General features: G+C 35.9%; 1 protein-coding gene across 13 annotated transcripts in view; it reads left to right on the top strand.

Annotated features, from left to right (window-relative positions):
* The window catches only part of HDX (highly divergent homeobox), a 184,576-nt gene that overhangs the window by 30,860 nt on the left and 129,022 nt on the right, over positions 1-24,694 (top strand). For all 13 annotated transcript variants that reach the window (XR_001755653.2, XR_001755652.2, XR_938392.2 and 10 more), the window contains one exon: positions 2,019-3,122. Coding sequence is in view for 10 of the 13 variants with exons in the window: in XM_017029275.2 (XP_016884764.1) it covers positions 2,019-3,122 (1,104 nt within the window). In the remaining 3 variants the exon portion in view is untranslated. The remainder of the gene's footprint in view (positions 1-2,018; positions 3,123-24,694) is intronic.

The following is a 24,694-nucleotide window of genomic DNA, read 5'->3' as shown; positions in this document are numbered from 1 at the left end:
TGCTTTCAGGTGAGGTAGAATTGACAGAATCTTTGCTCTCTCACTTGCCCCCAGAATACCCTTCCACAAGCTATTTATTATTTCTGAACCTCAGTTTCTTCATTTACACAATTAGAAAAATAACACCTACCAAAGGAGTTTATATATATATATATAATATATAAAATAATAATACTCTATATCGATAGATCTATTATAGATCCTTTATTATAGATCCTTTATAGATTTATTAGAGATCCTTTATACTTTAGTTTTTTTATTTTTTTCTTTTACCTGTATGTACACCTTGGTTCCAAGACAAATGAAAATCTATCTATCTATCTATCTATCTATCTATCTATCTATCTATTGAGAGAACACATAATGGGGATTCAATACATATTAGCTTTTATTTACAGTAGTACAGCAACACTAATGTATATAATTATAAATTGTATAAGATGTACAGTAAACATTGAAAATTGGACAATTTATGTGGTCTTCAAAAACACATTCATACAAAAGTTAAACAAATATACTCTGAACTATTGTTTGTTCAAGGCTAGTTCATTTAATGTTTTCATTTTTCATTTATTTTAATTCGTTTTTTAGGAAAATATTTGGTGGAGACTGAGTCCCACTATATTGCCCATGCTGGTCTCAAAATGTTGGCCTCAAGCGATCCTCCTGCCTTGGCTTCCCAAAGAGCTGGAGTTACAGGCATGAGCCACTGTGCATGGCCTGTTTAATTCTTAATAGATTAATGTGCTTTGGTGTTTATAATATGGTATGCATTTTGGAATTATTATAAAGTTTAGTAATCACATTATAGAATATATTTCTTATTGTATAATTTAAGAAGATCCATGACTCAGAAAAATAATACTAAGATAATTATAATAAATTACTTACATTAAAATATGTATTTTGTAATTAAATCCTAAACACCAACCACTAGTATTATTTTTATTAATAATCTTAATCTGTTTACAAAATATATATTTATTGTATAAAATTTGGTAAGTTGAGAAAAATGTAAAGAAGACAATAACTACCATAGATTAGTGACAAACTGAAAACAAACAATTGCAGCTTGTAACAAAGAATTATTATTGACTTTAGTAGAAAATTACTCTTGCATACAAATCAATTTAAAAAGGTAAACACCTCAATATAAAAATAGGTAAAGGTAATGGATAGGCAATTCTATGAAAGTAATATTGTAACCATAGAAATTCATGTCAAAGCAGCAATTATACACTTTTTATTAACTCCTGGACTAGTAAAGACTACAAAAAGATAAGGCAAACTCTTGGTGAGGGTGTGAGGAAACCGGAACTCATACATTGGAGAGCACTTTGAAAATATTAGAGCCTAGCAATTTTTCTTTTAGTATTGCATTCTAATAGAGCAGCAGTACAAAGATGCATCTACGATGAGGTATATGGCAATATAACTTATAAGAAAGAATATTTCAAAAAATACTATAAATAATCTGATAGTATGAAATTAAGCAAGTTATGATATATTTATAAAATGGAAGTTGATGAGTCTAAAGATTGCAAATGTGTATTTGTTTAACAATACTATGAGCATTTCTTAATGCCATTAAATAGCCTACCTTTAGTATGTTTTTAATTTTTCAGTATTATAAATAAATATATGATGAACATCATTGCATATAAACTTTATCTACATTTGTAGGTTACTTTTAGGATAAATTACCACAAATGTATTTACTATGTCAAAGTGTATAAACATTTTTAGGTTTCTTGATACATATTAGTTGGATGGGTTATGAGGAGAGAAACAATAATACACTCTGTTTTCAAAGTTTGAAGGTATTTATTAAGTGTGAGTCCCTGATCATCTTTTGCCTTTGTACTTTAGTCAGTTTTTCTGTTATTTTACCTTTTTCTTTTACCTTTATGTACACCTTGGTTCCAAGACAAATGAAAATATAATGTACCACGTAAAATTTGTTTTTTCTTCGTTTGTTTTTAATTTTTTTTTCATAATACCATGTTTTATCCTTCCAGACGTGGGTTGGCAATAAGAGAAGAAAGATGAGTAGTAAGAACTCTGAATCTGGAACAGCAACAACAGGAACCTCTTTGTCAGCTCCAGACATCACAGTCAGAAATGTGGTTAATATTGCTCGACCCTCAAGCCAGCAGTCTTCTTGGACATCTGCCAATAATGATGTCATTGTAACTGGTATATACAGTCCAGCCAGTTCATCAAGTAGGCAAGGAACAAACAAACATACAGACACACAAATTACAGAAGCACATAAAATCCCTATTCAGAAAACAGCCACTAAAAATGATACTGAGTTTCAGTTACACATTCCTGTCCAAAGACAAGTAGCACACTGTAAAAATGCTTCCCTACTCCTAGGTGAAAAAACAATTATTTTGTCAAGACAGACAAGTGTGCTAAATGCTGGAAACTCAGTATTCAATCACGCAAAGAAAAACTATGGAAACTCTTCAGTACAAGCTTCTGAAATGACAGTACCTCAAAAGCCTTCTGTGTGCCACCGACCTTGTAAAATTGAACCAGTTGGGATTCAAAGGTCATATAAGCCTGAACACACAGGCCCAGCATTACATAACTTATGTGGGCAAAAGCCAACTATTAGAGACCCTTACTGTAGAACACAAAACTTGGAAATCCGTGAAGTGTTTTCATTGGCAGTTAGCGATTACCCCCAGAGAATTCTGGGAGGAAATGCCCCACAGAAGCCTAGCTCAGCAGAAGGAAATTGTTTGTCCATTGCAATGGAGACTGGAGATGCTGAGGATGAATATGCCAGAGAGGAAGAGCTGGCATCGATGAGAGCACAGATACCAAGCTATTCGAGATTTTATGAAAGTGGCAGTTCCCTTCGAGCTGAGAACCAAAGTACAACCTTGCCCGGACCAGGAAGAAATATGCCAAATTCACAAATGGTGAATATTAGAGATATGTCAGACAATGTACTGTATCAAAACAGAAACTACCATTTGACACCACGGACCTCATTACATACAGCATCTAGTACAATGTACAGTAATACCAATCCATTACGGAGTAATTTTTCTCCTCATTTTGCATCATCAAACCAATTGAGATTATCACAAAACCAAAACAATTACCAGGTAATGTGTAAATTTATTTTATAAAGGTTTTAAAAACTGTGTGTGTATCCAGTTAGATTTGGGACCTGGATCACTTAACTCATATATTGAAGTAATGTGAGATTTTTGCTTCAAAGTGGTGGTTTGGGGTTAACTCCTTGAAGAATCTTGTTCTTTGTTTCTCATGTTTTTAAATGATGAGGTCTTTTTTTCATGGAATATAGTCATTTTTATAACATGGCAGTCTTTCCCTGCATTTAAAATGATTTTGTTCTGGAAATGAGAGCTTAATGGGTAGCATGGAATTTCCCATTACTAAAATAGGGTTAAATTGGTCGGGCTCATGATCTTGAACATAGATTATTCCTATAATGGTTTTCAGTTGCATTTTGGGGAGCTGTCACTAGATGAGTGGTGGCTTCCCTGGTACATAACCAGGCAAGTCAATAATTTCTTTAGGTGCTGATGGCTGATAAGTCAGAGGCTATGGTAACTCAGCCAACTGCTTTTTAGAAATGTAAATGCTTTATTAAAACATTAAGTGAGAGAGTAGTCAAATAGTCATTTAAAAATGTTTATAGGGAAAAGACATATTCTGAGTAAGAATTATTGCAATTTTAGACCTGTGCTTAAAATAGTTGTTATTTATTTACTGTTTCATATATTCAATTGTTCAGGTATGCTTCAAATAATCACATTAACAGTGAGGTGTAAGCCTACCTCAGAACATCTCTTATCCTATAGATAATTCCCTCTGAAAAATCTGCTTTAGAGAATTTGAATAGCAGAGCTTGGATGGTTGCCATTTTTCCTTACTACTGGCTAGAACTTCTTATCTTTTCTTTTCTTTTCCTTTTTTTTTTTTTTTTGACGGAGTCTTGCTCTGTCACCCAGGCTGGAGTGCAGTGACGTGATCTTGGCTCACTGCAACCTCCGCTCCCTGGTTCAAGCGATTCTCCCGCCTCAGCCTCCCGAGTAGCTGGGACTACAGGCGTGTACCACCACGCCTAGCTAATTTTTGTATTTTTAGTAGAGATGGGGTTTCACCATGTTGACCAGGCTGGTCTTGGACTCCTCACCTCAGATGATCCGCCCACCTCAGCCTCCCAAAGTGCTGGGATTACAGGGGTGAGCCACTGGCCCAGCCTAGCACTTTCTATCCTTTCAACCACAATACTTAAGATTTGTCTGGATTTAAGATGCTTCCAGGCTGTTCTGAACCAGTTTAAGGAACCATCTTCTTTTAGCTCCCTCCATCTTACAGCTCCCTGCTTGAAAATGAAAAGCAATAATACAGTATAGGAAGCATCCCTCTGTCATCTGGCCATAACACAAGAACTCCATCATCATCATTAACAGTCATTCTTTATTGATAATTGACTCATTTTTATGTGTGTGCCCTTTAAAGAAGCATGCTTAGAGTAACATTGAATCATACCATTAAGATCCTCTACACACCCCTCCTTCATTCACCTACTCTTTTGTACTTCTTTACCCCTTCAGTGTTGTTCTTAATAATAGTAGTAACAATAACACTTACCATTTGTTGAGGGCTGACCATATGCTGGGACCTTTGGTCACTTTATATAACCAATCTCATTTAATCTTCATGATGATCTGGACAGATAGGCATTTTATCCATATTTCAATTGCTTGCCTAGGATTACATAGCTAGTAAATGACAGAACCAGAATTCCAACTCAGCAATTTATTATTTATCATATTTTCTGCTTTACCATACAGCATAACTATTTCAACTGTATTTGACTTACTGGGAAACCTGAGAATGCAAGGTTTAATTTAAATATTTTTTAAACCCACCACTCCCTAAAGGATAATTTAACCTGTGATTTTACCTTTACACAGTCTCTATTTTTTTCTGACAGAACTTTTAAAGAAACAATTTTTTAAAATAAAAGAACCTGCTTTTATTTTATTTATTGCAACAAAATTTAGCAACTGTCGTATGAATGATAATCTTCTTAAAAGAAAGGCAACCTGACCTAACAATTTAGAGTATAGGCTTAGAGCATGGACAGACCTGGATTCAAATTCAAGCTCTGCCACTTTCTACTTGTGAACAGATAAGAAGGTATAGCCAGTGGCTTATCCTCTTTGTGTAACAGTCTCTTTATTCGTATAATGTGGGCACTAATTCCTACTTCACAGGAATCTTGTGACAGGAAATGAAAAAAAAATCTATGCAAGGCTCTTTGTACTTTTCCTGGCACATAAACTTCTTATACATATGAACTCATAGTTGGAAAGTTAATGAAACTCTGCTAGTCTATGCCTCATTTATGTTCCAATTTCAAGTAAAATTTTGCACAGACCACAATTATCACAAGTTAACAGAAAGAAAACTTGTAGTACTGGCTAAAGAAGACTGGAAGTAAGTTATCACCTTCATTACAACTATTAAAAGCCCATTGTTATACTATATCAGACCTGTGTAAGCCAACCTGACTTGAGAGAGTATGGTGGAGAAGCCCTGGGGAATCACTTTACCTCAACTTTTCTTTTTAGTTAGTTCATATTTGGAAAATCAAGGCAGCCTGGGGAAGTGGAATCCATGGAGTTTTACCCTCCAAGGTGTTGCTGAAGCTCTATCACCAACACTCTTGGATCAGAGCTTAGAATCTGTGGTCATTTTGTCAACTTTCTATTATTATTATTATACTTTAAGTTCTGGGGTACATGTGCAGAACGTGCAGGTTTGTTACATAGGTATACATCTGCCATAGTAGTTTGCTGCACCCATCAACCCATCATCTACATTAGGTATTTCTCCTAATGCTATCCCTCCCCTAGGCACCCGCCCCCCAACGGGCCCCAGTGTGTGATGTTCCTCTCCCTGTGTCCATGTGTTCTCATTGTACACCTCCCACTTAAGAGTGAGAACATGCAGTGTTTGGTTTTCTGTTCTTGTGTTAGTTTGCTGAGAATGATGGTTTCCAACTTCATCCATGCTCCTGCAAAGGACATAAACTCATCCTTTTTGATGGCTGCATAGTATTCCATGGTGCATATGTGCCACATTTTCTTTATCCAGTTTATCATTGATGGGCATTTGGATTGGTTCCAAGCCTTTGTTATTGTCAATAGTGCTGCAATAAACATATGTGTGCATGTGTCTTTATAGTAGAATGATTTATAATCCTTTGGGTATATACCAGTAATGGGATTGCTAGCTCAAATGGTATATCTGGTTCTAGATCGTTGAGGATTTGCCACACTGTCTTCCACAATGGTTGAACTAATTTACATTCCCACCAACAGTGTAAAAGCATTCTATTTCTCCACTTCCTCTCCAGCATTTGTTGTTTCCTGACTTTTTAATGATTACCATTCTAACTGGCATGAGATGTTATCTCATTGTGGTTTTGATTTGCATTTCTCTAATGACTAGTGATGATGAGCTTTTTTTCATATGTTTGTTGGCTGCATAAATGTCTTCTTTTGACAAGTGCCTGTTCATGTCCTTTGCCCACTTTTTGATGGGGTTGTTTTTTTCTTGTAAATATGTTTAAGTTCTTTGTAGATTCTGGATATTAGCCCTTTGTCAGATGAGTAGATTGCAAAAATTTTCTCCCATTCTGTAGGTTGCCTGTTCACTCTGATGATAGTTTCTTTTGCTGTGCAGAAGCTCTTTAGTTTAATTAGATGCCATTTGTCAATTTTGGCTTTTGTTGCCATTGCTTCTGGTGTTTTAGTCATGAAGTCTTTGCCCATACCTATGTCCTGAATGGTATTGCCTAGGTTTTGTTCTAGGATTTTCATGGTTTTAGGTCTTACGTTTTAGTCTTTAATCATCTTGAGTTAATTTTTGTATAAGGTGTAAGGAAGGGGTTCAGTTTCAATTTTCTACATATGGCTAGCCAGGTTTCCCAACACCATTTATTAAATAGGGAATCCATTCCCCATTTCTTGTTTTTGTCAAGTTTGTCAAAGATTAGATGGTTGTGGATGTGTGGTGTTATTTCTGAGGCCTCTGTTCTGTTCCATTAGTCTATATATCTGTTTTGGTACCAGTACCATGCTGTTTTGGTTACTGTAGCCTTGTAGTGTAGTTTGAAGTCAGGTAGTGTGATGCCTCCAGTCTTGTTCTTTTTGCTTAGGATTGTCTTGGCTATGCAGGCTCTTTTTTGGTTCCATATGAAATTTAAAGTAGTTTTTTCTAATTCTGTGGAGAAAGTGGATAGTTGCTTGATGGGGATAGCATTGAGTCTACATTATTACTTTGGGCACTATGACCATTTTCACGATATTGATTCTTCCTTTCCATGAGCATGGAATGTTTTTTCATTTATTTGTGTCCTCTCTTATTTCCTTGAGCAGTGGTTTGTAGTTCTCCATTTTGTCAACATTCTTGCTATGAAACTGTAAGAAAACAAACAATTCTCTTGAGTTTCTCATGCTGAAACTATATAACAGAGATAGCTGCCTCTTTTCTGTGTTACACCACTTATCTTCAAGCCGTGATACTATTTCTGGAGGATAGTATAGTATCAAACTATCTAGAAAACTGAGTACAAATTGAAAAAATCCTAAAGGATACTAAGAAGTTAAAATCAGCTTTCTTTAGGAGCCTCTTGGGAATATAATATTAAGGGTTGAAGTGGTATTAAGGGAACTGGCAGGATGTTACTATAGCAAGATACTATGAACAATGAAGTTCCATTTCAAAAACTCTCCAGGCTAACCTCACTCATGGAGCCAGATGACAATCATATTGGTCTCCCTCCAAAGTGCCATTCACTTTTCATATTACCTCTATGTCAAACTGCCTGCTTGTCACAAGGGTGCTGTTGTGATTAAAATTTATTAATGATCATCTTTGTGAAGATATTGGGGCACTTTGGAAGAAAGGCGCCATAAATACAACATTTATCATTTCAGTTATTATTGTGGCTTGATAATTAATTGCATTCCCATTTCTCATGGATTTTAGAAGGTCTTTGGAATTAATAGAAGTAAAGCACTTTGGTGAACTTCCTTTAAAAATCTTTATAAGCACAATACATTTCTATTAGTAAAAGTGCCTTGGTAATGTCTTCCAACTTTCTCTATTACTTGTGGACTTTAGTGCTTTTGTTAAAAAGAAACGAAAGTTTAATAACAATAGAAACTTTAAATATCGTGGCATTTAAACCAACTCAAATGTTATTTTACCTGAGGAAAATGAGAGCCAGTAAGATTGAGTGACTTGGTCAAAATGACTCTCAGGAAAATATTCAAGTTTTTAAAAAAGTAATTGTAATCTGTGTTGAGTGGGTAGAGTTAGCAGGGATCACTTTTAAATAATTTGATTAAGACATATATTACATAATATAAAATTCACACATTAAAAGTGTGAATTCAGTGGTTTCTAATATATTCACAAAGTTGTTCAAGCAGCACCACAGTCTAATTTTTGAACATTTAATCACCTCAAAAATGAACCCCATACCCATTAGCACACGGCATCCCCTATCCTGGCACTAAGCAAGCAACCACTAATCTTTCTATCTCTATGGATTTATCTTTTCTGCATTTTAATATAAATGGAGTCATATAATATGGGCCATTTGAGACTGGCTTCTTTCAATTAGTATGATGTTTTTAAGTTTCATTCATGTCATAGCATGCATTAATACTTCATATTATGTTTTCTGATCCATGAATGAGTTATGATTTTTCACTCATTACATCTGTTCAAATTTCTTTCAAGAATGTTATGTACTTTTCAGTAGAGAAAATTTCTATTTCATTAATTTTTTTCTAAGTTTATTACTCTCTTTGATGCCAATTTTTTAAAAAATTCTTAATTTTTTATTAATAGAACAGTATCACTCAGTTATGATGATGAATGTTCTGACTACTTCTTTACTGGGTTTTGTTTTCTTTAGTATCAAAAGAACAGCACAATACTTATTTGCCACATTGGTATTTTGGCTTATTGCACTTTGATTGTAAAAAATACACTACTCTTTCCAGCCTCTGGTAATCATCTCTTTCCTCTTTATCTCCATGAGTTCAATTGTTTTAAATTTTAGCTCCTGCAACTAAGTGAGAATATATGATGTTTGTCTTTCTGTGCCTGGCTTATTCGACTTAACATAATGACCTCCAGTTCCATCTCTGTTGTGTCAAATGACAGGATCTCATTGTTATTTATGAGCGAATAGTTCTCCATTGTGTATACGTACCACATTTTCTTTATCTATTCACCTGTTGATGGACACTTAGGTTGCTTCCAAATCTTGTCTATTGTGAATAGTGCTGCAGTAAACATGGGAGTGCAGATATCTCTTCAATTTACTGTTTTCCTTTATTTTGGATAAATACTGATACCTTTATTGATGGATTTTATGGTAGCTCTATTTTTAGTTTGCTGAGGAACCTCCAACTCTTCTCCATAGTGCGTGTACTAATTTGTATTCCCACCTGCAGTTTATGAGGATTCCCTTTTCTCTACATCTTCACCAGCATTTGTTATTGCCTGTCTTTTGGATAAAAACCATTTTAACTGGGGTGAGATGATATCTCATTTTAGTCTTGATTTGCAATTGTCCAATGATTAATGATGTGGAGAACCTTTTCATATGCCTGTTGGCAATTTGTGTTTCTTCTTTCGAGAAATGTCTGTTCAGATATTTTGCCCATTACTTAATCAGATTGTTAGATTTTTTTCTTATAGAGTTGTTTGAGCTCCTTATGTATTCTGATTATTAATCCCTTATCAGACAGGTAGTTTGTAGGTATTTTTCTCCCATTCTGTGTGTTGTCTCTTCACTTTGTTGATTGTTTCCTTTGCTGTGCAGAAGCTTTTTAACTTGATGTGATCCCATTTGTCCATTTTTGCTTTGGTTTCCTGTGCTTGTGGAGTATTGCTCAAGAAATCTTTGTCAAGTGCAGTGTCCTGGAGATTTTTGCCGAAGTTTTCTTCTAGTAATTTCATAGTTTCTGGTCTTAGATTTGTTTTTAATACTTTTTTTTTTAATTATATAGTGAGAGATGGGGGTCTAGTTTCATTCTTCTCCATATAGATGTCCAGTTTTCCTAGCACCATTTGTTGAAAAGGCTGTCCTTTTCCTAGCGTATGTTCTTGGCAATATTGTCAAGCATGAGTTCACTGTAGATGTATGGATTTGTTTCTGGGTTCTCCATTCTGTTTCATTTGTCTATGTGTATGTTCTTATGCCAGTATCATGCTATTTTGGTTACTACAGCTTTGTAGTATAATTTGAAGTCAGGTAATGTGATTCCTCCAGCTTTGATCTTTTTGCTCTGGATAGCTTTGGATATTCTGGTTCTTTTATGGTTCCAGATAAATTTTAGGATTTTTTTCTGTTTCTGTGAAGAATGTCATTGGTATTTTGACGGGGATTGAATTGAATCTATAGATTGCTTTACATAGTATAGACACCTTAAAAATATTGATTCCTTTAATTCATGAGCTTGGACTATCAGTTCTGTTGTGTCCTCTTCAATTTCTTTTATCAATGTTTTATAGTTTTCATTATAGAGATCTTTCACTTATCTTTTAGTAATTTCCTAGGTATTATATTATTTTTGTAGCTATTGTAAATGGGATTACTTTCCAGAATGTTTGCTGTTAGCATTTAGAAATGCTACAGATTTTTGTATGTTGAATTTATATTCTGCAACTTAACTCAGTTTGTTTATTAGTTCTAATAGTTTTTTGGCAGAGTGTTTAGATTTTTCCAAATACATGATTATATCATCTGCAAACAAAGAAAATATGACTTCCTCTTTCAAACTTATTTATTTCTTTCTCTTGGTTGATTGCTCTAGCTAGTACTTCCAGTACTATTTTGAATAACAGTGGTGAAAGTGGGCATTCTGGTTGTTTTCCACATCTTTGAGGAAAAGGCTTTCATTTTGTCCCCATTCAGTATGATACTAGCTGTGAATCTGTCATATATGGTTTTTAATGTGTTGTGGTATGCTCCTCCTGTACCCAGTTTTTGAGAATCATTTTTCTTTTTATCATGAAGCGATATTGAGTTTTATCAAATCATTTTCAGCATCAATTCAAATGATCATATGGTTTTGTTCCTTCATTTTGTTGGTATGATGTATCACATTGGTTAATTTGCATAAGTTTAACCATCTTTAAGTTTCTGCAATAAATCCAACTTAGCCATAATGAATGATCTTTTTAATCTGTTCTTATGATCGATTTGCTAGTATTTTGTTGAAGTTTTTGTATCAATATTCATCAGGAATATTTGTCTGTAGTTTTTGTTTTATTTTGTTTTGAGACATCTTTGTCTGGTTTTGGTATTAGGGTGATACTGGCCTCATAGAATGAATTTGGAAGTGTGTTCTTATCGTCTATCTTTTGGAATAGTTTGAGTAGCAATGGTATTAGTTCTTAAATGCTTGGTAAAATTTAGCAGTGAAGAGATAAGGTCCCTTGCTTTTCTTTGCTGGGAGACTTTTTGTTATTGCTGCAATCTTGTTACTTATTATTGATCTGTTCAGGTTTTGGATGCTTTAATGGTTCAATTTTGGTAGGTTGTATGTATCTAGAAATTTTTCAGTTCCTTTTAGGTTTTCCAAGTTATTGGCATATAGTTGCTCATTATAGCCTCTAATGATCCTTTGAATTTCTGCACTATCAGTTATAATGTCTCCTTTTATACCTCTGATTTTGTTTATTTGAGTCTTCTCTCTTTTCTCCCCACAGTCTCGCTAAAGGTTTGTCAATTTTCTTATATTTTTTAAAAACCAACTTTTAACTTCATTGATCTTTTGTACTATTTTTTATTTCAATTTCCTTGATTTCTGCTCTGATTTTTATTTTTTTTTTCTAATAACTTTGGGTTTTGTTTGCTCTTTCTTTTCTAGTTCTCTGAAATGCATCTTTAGTTGTCTATCTAAATTTTCTCTACTTTTTGAATGTAGGCACTTACAGCTTTAAACTTTCCTCTTAATACTGCTTTTGCTATATCCCATTGTTTGGGTGTGTTGTTTTATCATTTTCATTTGTTTTGAGAAATTTTTAAATATTCCTTTTCTTTTCTTTTTTTCTTTTTTTTTTTTGAGATCGAGTCTCGCTCTGTCGCCCAGGCTGCAGTGCAGCGACATGATCTCGGCTCACTGCACGCTCTGCCTCCCGGGTTCACGCCATTCTCCTGTCTCAGCCTCCCGAGCAGCTGGGACTACAGGCGCCCGCCACCACGCCCGGCTAATTTTTTGTATTTTTAGTAAAGACGGGGTTTCACTGTGTTAGCCAGGATGGTCTTGATCTCCTGATCTCGTGATCCGCCCTCTTTGGCCTCCCAAAGTGCTGGGATTACAGGCATGAGCCACCACGCCCAGCCTCTTTTTATTTTCTTAATTAGCCTACTGATCGTTCAGGAACATATCGTTTAATTTCCATTTGTTTGTATAGTTTCCAGACTTGCTCTTGTTATTGATTTCTAGTTTTATTCCATTGTGACCAGAGGAGATACTTGATATAATTCCATTTTCTGAATTTTTAAAACACTTTTTTGGTAGGGTGTATACTCCAAAACATTTTTGTAGGTTCTTTAGCTAGTATCTAAAAAGTATGAAATAATCCAACATAAGATTTCTTTCTTTTTTTTTCTGAAAGCACTTATTCATTGCAGTAAAATGAAGTATGACACCAATAGGGAATCTTGAATTCTGACCTTTCATAGTATATTTTGCAATAAACAGTTTATGGTCCATTTTTCTTAAATCTGATGACCTCTTTGAGGCAGGTTTCCGATTTTGCCAGTAGAACAGGAAATATCATGTGTGGGTACATGATAAGCATTAATAATGTGTGGGTGGAAATTTGTTAATAGTCTGAGAGTGAAGTCTGAGTTAAAAGTTGTTTTACCTTGAAATTGACTGGAAGGGCAAAGATTTAAAGCAACAGAAGAATCTCTCAATCTATGAGGAGTAAGTTATGTGATTATGGTATATGTTTTGTGTGCATGAATGGGAATTTGTAAATATTGAAATCTAGGGTCTGACAATCACTATCAACAGAAGATCAAGCTACACATATTTATGTTTTAAAACTTAAATTATAAGTCTAGCTAAATCTTTCAAACAACCGGTTTTAATGTTCATAGGTACATTTCACCTAAGTAACCATTTACATTGTACAGAAAAAGATTCATCTTGAGCACAGATTCAGTTTAGGAATTGGTTTGGAGAAGAGGTTTTTTTGTGGATTTTTTTTTTGATAGTGCAAAAGTAAAACCAGTTGCTTTCTGGGGGATTGAACTAAATTTTAATCTAGCCTTTAAGACCAAAACAAAAATATGAAGGAAATAAAAACCCCTTATTATTAAATTGATCTGCAAAAACATTGTTACTAGAAATTGATTGGGACTTGAGGCCTTCTTCAGAAAATAAGAACTTAATTTTCTGGCCTGTATTAGGTTTTGAACTTTAATACCATGTATTTGTACTTATTAAAAAATGTTTCAATGAAATGTGTATTAGCAGTATGAACTTCTGGTTCAGTTGGAAATTCTTCCATTTGAAAAAGGTGATATTTGCACACAAATGTTCGAATGATTTTATTTTCCAATTTCCCCTCCCCCACACTGGATAGAATTGAAGCTAGAATTTTTTCTTATGATCAAGAAACAAAACGTTAGCATGTTACATTTTGCACGAGTGATGACACAAATTAAAATTGTAGTACACATTATATGTCACTCTATGAATGTTGACAATGGAAGAAACACCTTGCTGTAGTATACTGCCACTTCTGGACTGAAAAGCTGAGAAAGAAACATAATTTATGATTTTTCACACATCAGAAGAAGTTACAGCTAGTATGCCCCATTTTCTTGTTGACCTCATGAGATGAAGAGAGCACATAGTATTAATTCAGACTGAAGAAATTACTCAAATTTTGATTTTAGTATACTTACCATCTACATGCAATATTAAATAAATCAGATATCTTATTACAGTTTCAAATGTGTACATAGGCTCCCTCTCACTCCCTTCCATATCTATTAGTTATTGAAGTTTCTATGCTGGCATTAAGACATTACAACTATGTTTTCAATGTTTTGTTGCACCAGTATTATAAACATATGGAGTACAATATGTGTTATTTTTCCGAGGTGAACTAAAAGTACATTTCTCAAGGTTCTTGAATCTTCTTTAGCAGTATTTTATAGAGAGTCTTTTATACATTAGTAATAGATAAACCACATTGTGATTTTTTAAAAAATCGTAAACCATGTACCAAGTTTGTGGTCCAAATTGTGTAGGAGAAGTTAAATGTTAATGGCATTCCATTAAATACTTTGTGTGTACTTCTGTAAGCATAGTTATGTCAAAATAAACTTTTAAAATAGCCAAAAAAAAAGAAGATTTTGTGGCCTAACATGTGGTCTATTCTTGAGAATGATCCTTGTGCTGAGGGGAAGAATGTGTATTCTGCTGCCACTGGATGAAATGATTTGTAAATAACTATTAGATTTATTTGGTCTATGGTGCAGATTAAGTCTGGTGTTTCTTTGTTGATTTTCTGTATGGATTATCTGTCCAGTGCTGAAAGTAGGTTGTCAAAGTCTCTAGATGTTATGTTGGAGTCTATCTGTCTCTTTACCCGAAATAATATATGTTTTATATATCTATGTGCCCCAGTGTTTGGTGCATATATATTTACAACTGTTATAGCCTCTTGATGTTTTGACCCCTTTTCATTATATAATGACTTTCTTTATCTCTTTTTATACTTTTTGTCTTCAAATCTATTTTGTCTGATATAAGTATGGCTATTCTTGCTTTTCTTTGATTTCCATTAACAAGGAATTTGTTTTTCATGTCTTTATTTTCAGTCTAGGTGTGTCTTTATAGGTGGAGTGTGTTTTTTGTAGGCAACAGATCACTGGGTCTTACTTTTTTATTCATTCAGCCTATGTCTGTTGATTAGAGAGTTTAGTCCATTTACATTTAATATTGTTATTGATAAGTAAGAACTCACTTCTGCCATTTTATTTGTTTTCTGGTTATTTTGTGGTCTTCTCTTTCTTTTCTCCTTTCTCCTTTTCTTCCTTTTATTGAAGGAAATTTTCTCTGGTGCTATGTTTTCATTTCTATTTTGTGTGTATCCATTGTATGCTTTTTAATTTGAGGTTTCCATGATGTTTTCAAATAATATCTTATATCCCATTATTTGAAACTGATGACAACTTAACATTGATTGCATAAACAAGCAAGCAAAGAAAAATCTAATAAAAAATGTTATTTTTTATTGGTTTGTCTTCTAGTCTTTCTACTCAAGATGTGAATATTTTAAATATCACAATAATAGTGTTATAAAATTCTGTGATTTTCTCTGTACTTACAATTAGCAGGGAGATTTGTACCATCAGATGATTTCTTATTGCTCATTAAAATCTTTTTCTTTCAGATTCAAGAACTCCCTTTAGCGTTTCTTGTAGGACAGATAAGGTATTGATGAAATCCTCAGCTTTTGTTTGTCTGGGAAAGTAATTATTTATCCTTCATGTTTGAAGGATATTTTTGCTGGATACACTATTCTAGGACAATTTCTTTTTCTTAAGCAGTTTAAATATGTTATACCACTGTCTCCTGGCAAGTAAGGTTTCCACTGAAAAGGCTTCTGCCAGATGTATTGGAGCTTCATTGTATGTCATTTGTTTCTTTTCTCTTGCTGCTTTTAGGATTCTTTTTTATCCTTGACTTTTGGGAGCTTGATTATTAAATGTCTTGTGGTAGTCTTATTTGGCTTAAGCCTACTTGCTGTTCTATAACTTTCTTATAGTTGAATATTAATATCTTTCCCTAGGTTTGGGAGATTCTGCTATTATCCCTTTGAATAAACTTTATACTCCTATCCCTCTACTTCCTCTTTGAGGCCAAAATCTTTTAGATTTGCCCTTTTGAGGTTATGTTCTTGATGGTGTAGGCATGCTTCATTATTTTGTATTATTTTATATTTTGTCTTCTCTGGCTGTTTATTTTCAAATAGCATGTCTCCAAGCTCGCCAATTCTTTATTCTGCATGATCAATTCTGCTCCCAAGATACTCTGATGCATTCTTCTGTATGTCAGTTGCATTTTTCAATTCCAGAATTTCTGCTTTATTCTCTTTAGTTATTTCAGTCTCTTTGTTAAATCTATCTGATAGGCTGGTGAATGTCTTCTGTGTGTTATCTTGAATTTCTTTCAGGTTTCTCAAAACAACTATTTTGAATTCTTAGTGTGAAAGGTCCCATATTTCTGTCTGTCCACAATTAGTGTCTGGTGCCTAGTTCAGCAAGGTCATGTTTTCCTGGATGGCCTTGATGGTTGTGGATGTTCGTCTGTGCCTGAGCATTGGATATTTAAATAGTGAATGTAGTCTTCACTGTCTGGGCTTGTTTGTACCTGTCCTTTCTGGGAAGGCTTTTCAAGTATTCAAAGGAACTTGGGTGTTGTTCTTGGTCACTGCAGCTATATCTGCATAAGTGGCACCCTAAGCCCAGTAATGCTATATCTCTCACAGACTCATATAGGTACTGCCTCAGTGGTCTTGGATAAGATCCAGAAGAACCATCTGGATTACCAAGCAGAGACTCTTGTTCTCTTCCCTTACTTTTTGTCAAACAAACAAAGTCTCTCTGTGTGCTGAGCCGCCTGGAACTGGGGAAGGGATGACACAAGCATCCCTATGGCCACCACAACTGGGACTGTGCTGGGTGAGACCTGAAACCAGCACAGTACTGGATCTCACCCCAGGTCCATGGAAATTATAGCCTCGTTACTGCCTATGCTTGCTGAAGGTCTTAAGGCTCTACAATTATCAGTGCTACCCAGGCTTGTGTCCTTTTCTTCAGGATGGCAGTTCTCCCTGGCCCCTGGCAGGTCCAAAGATGACATCCAAGAGAGAGGGCCCAGAGTTGGAAAACCTAGGAATCTAGTTGGTGTTCTATTCTACTGTGGCCGAACTGGCCCCCAAGCCACAAGACAAAGTCCTGTCAACTCTTCCCTACTTTTTCCACATGCAGAGGTGTCTCACCTCTTGGCCGCCACCACCTCAGGCCCGTGGCAAAGACTGCCTGGCTACTACCAGTGTTCACTCAAGGTCAATGTACTTTTCAGTTATATTGTGGTGAATATTGCCATACTTGAGACTCTCCCTTCAAGGTAATGGGATCCCCTCTGGCACAGATCACATCTAGAAATTCCATCCAAGAGCCAAGCCCTGGAATCGGGGACCCCAAGAACCTGCTTGGTGCTCTATCTCCACTGTGGCTGAGCTGGTACCAAAGCTGCAAGACAAAGTCTCCTTTACTTTTTCCTCTACTTTTCTCAAGTAGAAGGTGTCTTTCCCCATGCCCACAACAGCTGGGAATGTGCTTGTTCACAACTGAAGCCAGCACATCTGAATCTTACCCAAGTACCATAGCAAGTACTCCCTGGCTGCCACTGCTGACAACTCAGGTTCAAAGGGCACGTCAGTCAGCAGCTGATAAATCCTGCCAGGACTGTGTGCTTCAAGGCAGCAGGTTCCCTTTTGGCCCAGAGTGTGTCTATAAATGTAGTTCAGGAGCTAGGCCCTGGAATAGGAGCCTCAAGACTCTTCCTTGGATACTATCTTATTGTGGCTGAGCTGTTATCAAAGTTGCAAGACAAAGTCTTCTTTACTCTTCTCTCTTCTCTACTCAAGTGAAGGGAAGGTGTCGCTCCCACAGCTGCAATCTGTACTATCTAGGGTTGGGGGACAGCTGGCACAAGCACTCCCTTGGCTGCCCTGGCTGTTGTCTCACTAGGTCATATGCAGCCCATGTGTACTGGCTGTGAGCCCAGCACAGTACCAGGACTTGCCCAGGAACTGCAATCCTTGTCACATAGACTGTCTTTCAAGTTTACTTACTACTGCAAAGCACTTTAGCCCTCAATGGTGAGGCTTGCCAAAACTCAAGTTCCTACTCTTGGGATGAGTGATTCCCCTCTGGCTAGTGCTGGTCTAAATACTCCCTCCATGCATGCCAGATGAATTCTGCCCATTGTTCTCTTCTGCTGACAGGTCAGCATTGATTTTCAATGCAAAGTCCCACAATCACTGTACTCTCCTTCCCCTAAGTGCACAGACTTTTTCTCTGCACCACATGGATCCTGCTGGGGTTGGGGGAGGTATGGTGTCAGCTATTAAAGACTGTCTTTCCAATCCTCTTCATTGCCTCTTTCAGTGATATTAAGTTAAAGCCAAGTACTGTGATTGATAACCTGATTTTTAGTTCTTATGAAGATTTGTGTGTGTGTGTGGATCATTCTTCAGTTTGGTATTCTTGAGCGGAGGACAATTGTTCCTTCTAATTGGCCAGTTTGCACTGCCTTTCTCTAATTAGCCAATTTTTGATGAAATTGTCTTTTAGTTGTTGAGTTGTTTGAGTCTGTCGTGTATGCTGAATGAATAGTCCCTTGTCAGATGAAGAGTTTGCAAATATTTCTTCTCATTCAACAGGTTTTCTATCCACTCTATTGTTTCCATTTCTATGGGGAAGCTGTTTAATTTAGTCCCTTTTATCTATTTTTGTTTTTGTTGCCTTTTCTTTTGAGGTCTTAGCCATAAAATCTTTGTCTACACTAATGGCTTGAAGTATTTCCCCTATGTTTCCTTCCAGTAGTTTTATATTTTTGAGTCTTATGTTTAAGGTTTTATCTTGAGTTGATGTTTGCATATTGTGATATACAGGAGTCTAGTTTCTTCTTCTTCATATGGATATGCAATCTTCCTAGTAGCATTTATTGAAGAGGGCATCATTTCTCTAACACACATTCTTACTGCCTCTGTCCTATTGCCTTATTCCCGTTGTGGATTTATTTCTGGGTTTTCTATTTTGATCCATTGCTCTACATGTCTGTTTATATACCAGTACCATGCTATTTGTCCTTGTCATGTATTTTCAAGTCAGGTAATGAGATGCTTTCAGCTGACTTTTTTTTTTTTTTTGTAATGAGCTTAAGAGATCCTTCTGTTTGTGTCTTCTTCAATTTCTTTCATTAGTGTTTTGTAGTTTTCCTTGTAGAATTCTTTTGCCCTTGTGGTTAAATTTATTCCTAGCTATTTTTTGTAGTTATTGTAAATTGCATTGCCTTATTGATTTTTTTTCCTCAGCTAATTTATTATTGGATTATTGAAATGCTACTTATTATAATATGTTGATTTTCTGTCTCCAATTTTACTGAATTTATCTGATTTAAGAATTATTTTGGTGGATTTTCCGGTTTTTCCTAGAGAGAAGATCAAGTCATCTACAAAGAGGGAAAATTTGACTTATTTTCCAATGTTGCTGCCTTTTATTTTTTCTTTTGCCTGATTACTCTGGATGGGACTTCCATTACTATGTTGACTAGGAGAGGTGAAAATAGGCATGCTTATCTTCTTCCAGTTCCCAGAAAAAGACTTTCAGCCTTTATCATTCAGTATGATGTTAGTTGTTGGTTTTCATATTTGTCCTTTGTTATGTTGAGGTACATTCCTTCTGGGCCCACTATGTTGTTTTTCTCATGAAGGGATCCTGAATTTTATCAAATGCTTTTCTGCATCTATTGAGACAACAAGGCTTTTGTCCTTCATTTTATTGATATGATGTGTCATGTTAATTGATTTGTATGTGTTGAACCATCCTAGCATCCCTGGGAAGAATTCCACTTGATCATTTTGTATTAACTTTTTGATGTACAGTTGAATTCATTCTGCTAGAACTTTCTTGAGGGTTTTTGCATCTGTATTAATCAGGGTAACCGGCTTAAAATATTTGTTTTTTTTTGCATCCTTGTCTAGTGTTGGTATCAGGGTAATGCTGGCCTTATATAATTAGAGAAAATTCCCACCTCTTCAATTTTATTGGAATAGTTTCAGGGGAAATTGTTTTACTTCTTCCTTGTAAGTTTCATAGAATTTGGCAGTGAAGTCATTCAGTCTTGGACTTTTCTTTTCTGGTAGAATTTTTTTTTTTGTTACTGATTCAATCTCAGTAATTTTTATTGGTCTCTTCAGGTTTTCTATTTCTTTTTAAATTCAATCTTAGTAGGTTGTTTGTGTCCAGAAACGTATCCATTTCCTCTAGGTTTTCTAGTTTGCTAGTGTATAGTTGTTCTTTATAGTCTCTGATGATCTTTTGTATTTCTGTAGTATCAGTTGCAATGTCTATTTTTCATTTCTGATTTTATTTATTTATGTCTTCTTTTTTTCTCTTGGTTAGTCTAGCTTGCAGTTTATCAAATTTGTTTATCTTTTAAGAATGCAACTTTTCATTTTGTTGATAGTTTATATATTTTTAGTGTCTATTTTGTTTAGTTCTGCTCTGATATTTATTATTCCTTTATTTCTATTAATTTTGTGTTTGGTTTGTTGGTGTTTTACTCATTTTTGAAGTTAATTCATTTAATACAATTCTGTCTAAATTTTTCATCTAGGCGTTTATTGCTTTAAACTTTTACATTAGCATTGCTTTTGCTGTACCTATATTTGGTATGCTTTGTTTCAATTTTCATTTGTTTTAATACTTTTAAAAAATTTTCTCTTTAATTTCTTCCCTCTTTTTCAGAAGCATGTTGTTTAATATCCATGTATTTGTAAGTTTTCCAAAGTTCCTCCTGTTACTGATTTCTAGTTTAACTCCACTGTGGTCTAAGAAGATACTCTATATAGTTGTAATTTAAAAAAGTGGTTGTTGAGATTTGTTTTGTGTCCTAACACGTGGTCTGTACTGGAGAATGTTCCATATGCTGTTGCGAAGAATGTGTATTCTGTAGCCATTTGATGAAATATTCTGTAAATGTGTTTTAAGTCCAATTGATGTAATTTATGGTTTAAATACAGTATTTCTTTGTTAACTTTCTGTTTAGATGATCTGTCTAATGCTGAAAGTGGGGAGTTGAAATTCCTAACTACGCTTGTGTTGGAGTCTCTTCTTTTTTCCCCAATCTAATAATATTTGCATTGTATATCTTGGTGCACTGGTGTTGGGGGCATATATGCTTAGAATTTTTATATCCTTTTGCTGGATTGATCCCTTTATCATTGTATAATGACTTTCCTTTTCTCTTTTTATTGTTTTTTACTTAAAGTCTGTTTTATCTAAGTATTGCTACTCCTGCTCTTGTTTTGTTTTCATTTGCATGGAATATTTTTTTCCATCCCTTTACTGTCAGTCTATATGTGCCTTTATAGGTGAGATTGCTTTCTTGTAGGCAGTATATAGTGGAGTGATGGTTTTTTTTGTTGTTGTCCATTTAGCCAGTCTATATATTTTAAGTGGAAAGTTTAATTCATTTATATTCAAAATCATAATTGATATGTGAATATTTATTCCTGTCATTTTACTAGTTGATTTCTGGTGGTTTTTAATAATATCCTTTGTTCCTTCCTTTTTTTTTATTATACTTTAAGTTTTAGGGTACATGCGCACAACGTGCAGGTTTGTTACATATGTATACATGTGCCATGTTGGTGTGCTGCACCCATTAGCTCATCATTTAACATTAGGTATATCTCCCAATGCTATCCCTCCCCTTCCCCCCACCCCACAACAGGCCCGGTGTGTGATGATCCCCTTCCTGTGTCCATGTGTTCTCATTGTTCAATTCCCACCTGTGAGTGAGAACATGTGGTGTTTGGTTTTTTGTCCTTGTGATAGTTTGCTGAGGATTGTTCTTTCCTTTTACTTTTATTGTTTACAAATGTAATTGATAGTTTTCTGTAACGGTAACATTGGAGTCTTTTCCCTTTCTCATGTGTGTGTTTGCTCTTCTAGTGGGATTTATCCTTCATGTGTTTTCATGATGCTAGTATTGTCTTTCACTTCAACATGTCAGACTCCCTTAAACAATTTCAGGGTGAGTCTAGTGGTGGTGAATTGCAGCTTTTGTTTGTCTGGGAAATACTTTATTTCGTATTCATTTGTGAAGAATAACTTTACTGAGTATAATATCCTTGGCTTGCAGGGTTGTTTTTCTTTCAGCTCTTTGAAGATACCATTCCACTGTCTCCTGGCCTGTAAAGTTTCTACTGAGAAATCTGGTGTTAGTCTGATGTGGGTTTTATAAAGGTGACTAGATACTTTTCTCTTGCTGTTTTCAGAATCTCTCTTTGCCTTTGACTTTTGACAGTTTTACTGTATTATGCCATAGAGAAGACCTTTTAGCATTGTATCTCTTTGTGGATCTCTGAGTTTCCTGCATTTGGATGCATAAATCTCTTGGTAGACTTTTGAAGTTTTCAGTCATTATTTAACTAAATAGGTTTTTTATTGCTTTGACTTTTTTCTTTTTTTGCCTTCTTGGACACAATAAAATTAAATATTTGGACACTTTATGGTATTCTGTGTGTCATGTAGGCTTTATTCATTCTTTTTTATCTTTTGTTTTTTGTCTGACTGGGTTATTTCAAAAGACCTATCTTCCCATTCTGAAATTCGTTCTTCTGCTTGGTGTGATCTATTGTTGAAGTTTGAATATATTTTTTATTTGATTCCATGAATTTTTTAGATTTTTTATTTGATTCCATGAATTTTTCCAGAATTTCTTTTTTAAATGATATCTATCTTTTTAGTACATTTCTCTTTCATATCCTGAATTGTTTTTCTGATTTCTTTGTATTATTTTTCTGAATTATCTTGTATCTCCCTGAGCTGCTTTATAATCAATATTTTAAATTATTTTTTCTGGTTTTCATTAATTTCTTCTTGAATATAATCTGTTGCTGAATAAATATTGTGATCCTTTAGAGGTATCATATTTCCTTGTCTTTTCATGTTATGTATTTTCATTGACATCTGAGCATCTGGTATAACAGTTGCCTCTTCCAATATTTTTAATTTCCTTTTGTAGGGGAGCACTTTTTCCTGAAGATGTATCTATGGTGTTTGTTGTGTAGGGCACTTTGGCTTTCATTCTCGGTGTGTCCATTAGCATAGTCCTTGCATGATTTCCTCACCTGTAAACAGCATCAGTAGTGTCTGTCATTTTCTCAGTGCTTAGGGTGTGATTTTTAGTGGAGACTATGTTGAAGTTTTGCTGGGAACAGAGACATTCAGATGGGCCTCAGTGGCTGTGGCAAGCTGAGTCTGCTTGTCCTTGGGCCCCAGGGCAGTATACTCTGGCACTGGTATTAACAGATACAGTTGTGGTGATTCTTGGGCCTCCAGCCAGCTTCCTCAGGTGCTGGCCATGTCCTGGATGGGTGGGTGAGTCCTTGGGACCCTGAGCAGCAATGTGGCCTGAGTGATGACAGCAGCCATGGCAGGACAATCCTCTGTCTCCCACACAGTTCATCCTGCTGTTGACAGTGGCTGTGATGGGCTGGGTGGACCTGTCCTCAGGCACTCAAGAGTAGTGCCAAATGTGGTGGATGGGGCGGGGTAACCTACAGGCACTGACAGTGTGCTCAGGCATTGGGATGGATGAAGCTGAGCCAGGAAGGCCTGTCCTCTAGCCCTCAATGGTGTATGCAGGCACTGGCTGTGGTAGGCTGGAGCATGGTGATTGCCAGGCTTTTACAGAATGCTTGGTGGGGATAGCAGTGGCTGTGCTGCAGCTCTGCTACTGGGGAGGGTGAGATTGTTTTCAGTGGCAGCATCCTGAACAGGTGGCTGGGTAGCAGGCATCTCAGTCACAGGTGGGAGTTGTAAGTATGGCAGCCTTTTCTCAAGGTGCTATTAAATGTGAGGCAGCCCTGATACTAGAGGCAGAAGGATTACAGCCAATGGGTTGTGCTTCAGCCCTGGTGGTAGCAGTCAGCATCACTGCCCAGATTCATGTGGATGATGACAATTAGGCTTCAGGGATTCGGAGATGCAGGAGCTGTTGGAGAGGCAGGGCAGGAAGCAATCCGGTAGGGACTGGCCTCTCAAAGTGGCATCTTGGTGTAACTGTTTAGGACTTGGTGTGTGGGGGGGACCTGGTGTGAGCTCCCTCTCTGGAGCAATGCTGTCACCTCATCTTCAAGCAGCTTCCTTTGTTAGTTTCAGGGCCTAAGTGAGTTGAGGCACTTTCCATTGGCTAAGATTGCAGGAATCCATGGTAGAAATGTGTACTACTGGGTGTCACTCGCTTATTCTTTACTTGTATTGGGGAACCTCTCTAGGCTCTTAGCTCCCACTGGCCCAGTAGGCTGCTTTGCTCCCCTCTCCTTCCTTGCCTTAGGTGTTTTGTCACTTCTTTGTTGAATTCCAGCCTTCTCTATTAGGTGATCTATTCAAAGTGTGATTATCTACTTGCTGTTTTGTTTCTTCTTTGTGGAGGAGGTGAATACCAGATGTCTCTAGCCAGCCATCTTGAAGCCCCTGCTCTATGTGGCTACTTTAAAATATCTAGATTTTCTAGTGTCATTCCGGCATCTTCCAGAACCCTTAGCTGCTCTATATATTCCTCAATTAGTAATCTCTTTCCCCAAGGGTCCATGGGTCTTCAGTCTCTCTGAGGTTTTCATGAGCTTTGTTCACTGCTTCTCACCAATTCCACTAGCCTGAGATCTGAGATGTGCCACTATTGGCTGTCTAAACTCCAAATTAGGAGATAAAGAGACAAATTCCTCAGGCAGACCCCAGACAGATTAAAATGTTGCAAATTCAGTCCACCTCACA

This window comes from Homo sapiens, chromosome X, assembly GCF_000001405.40.
Source record: "Homo sapiens chromosome X, GRCh38.p14 Primary Assembly".
NCBI lineage: Eukaryota > Metazoa > Chordata > Mammalia > Primates > Hominidae > Homo > Homo sapiens.
This window is presented reverse-complemented; position numbering and strand designations above follow the sequence as displayed.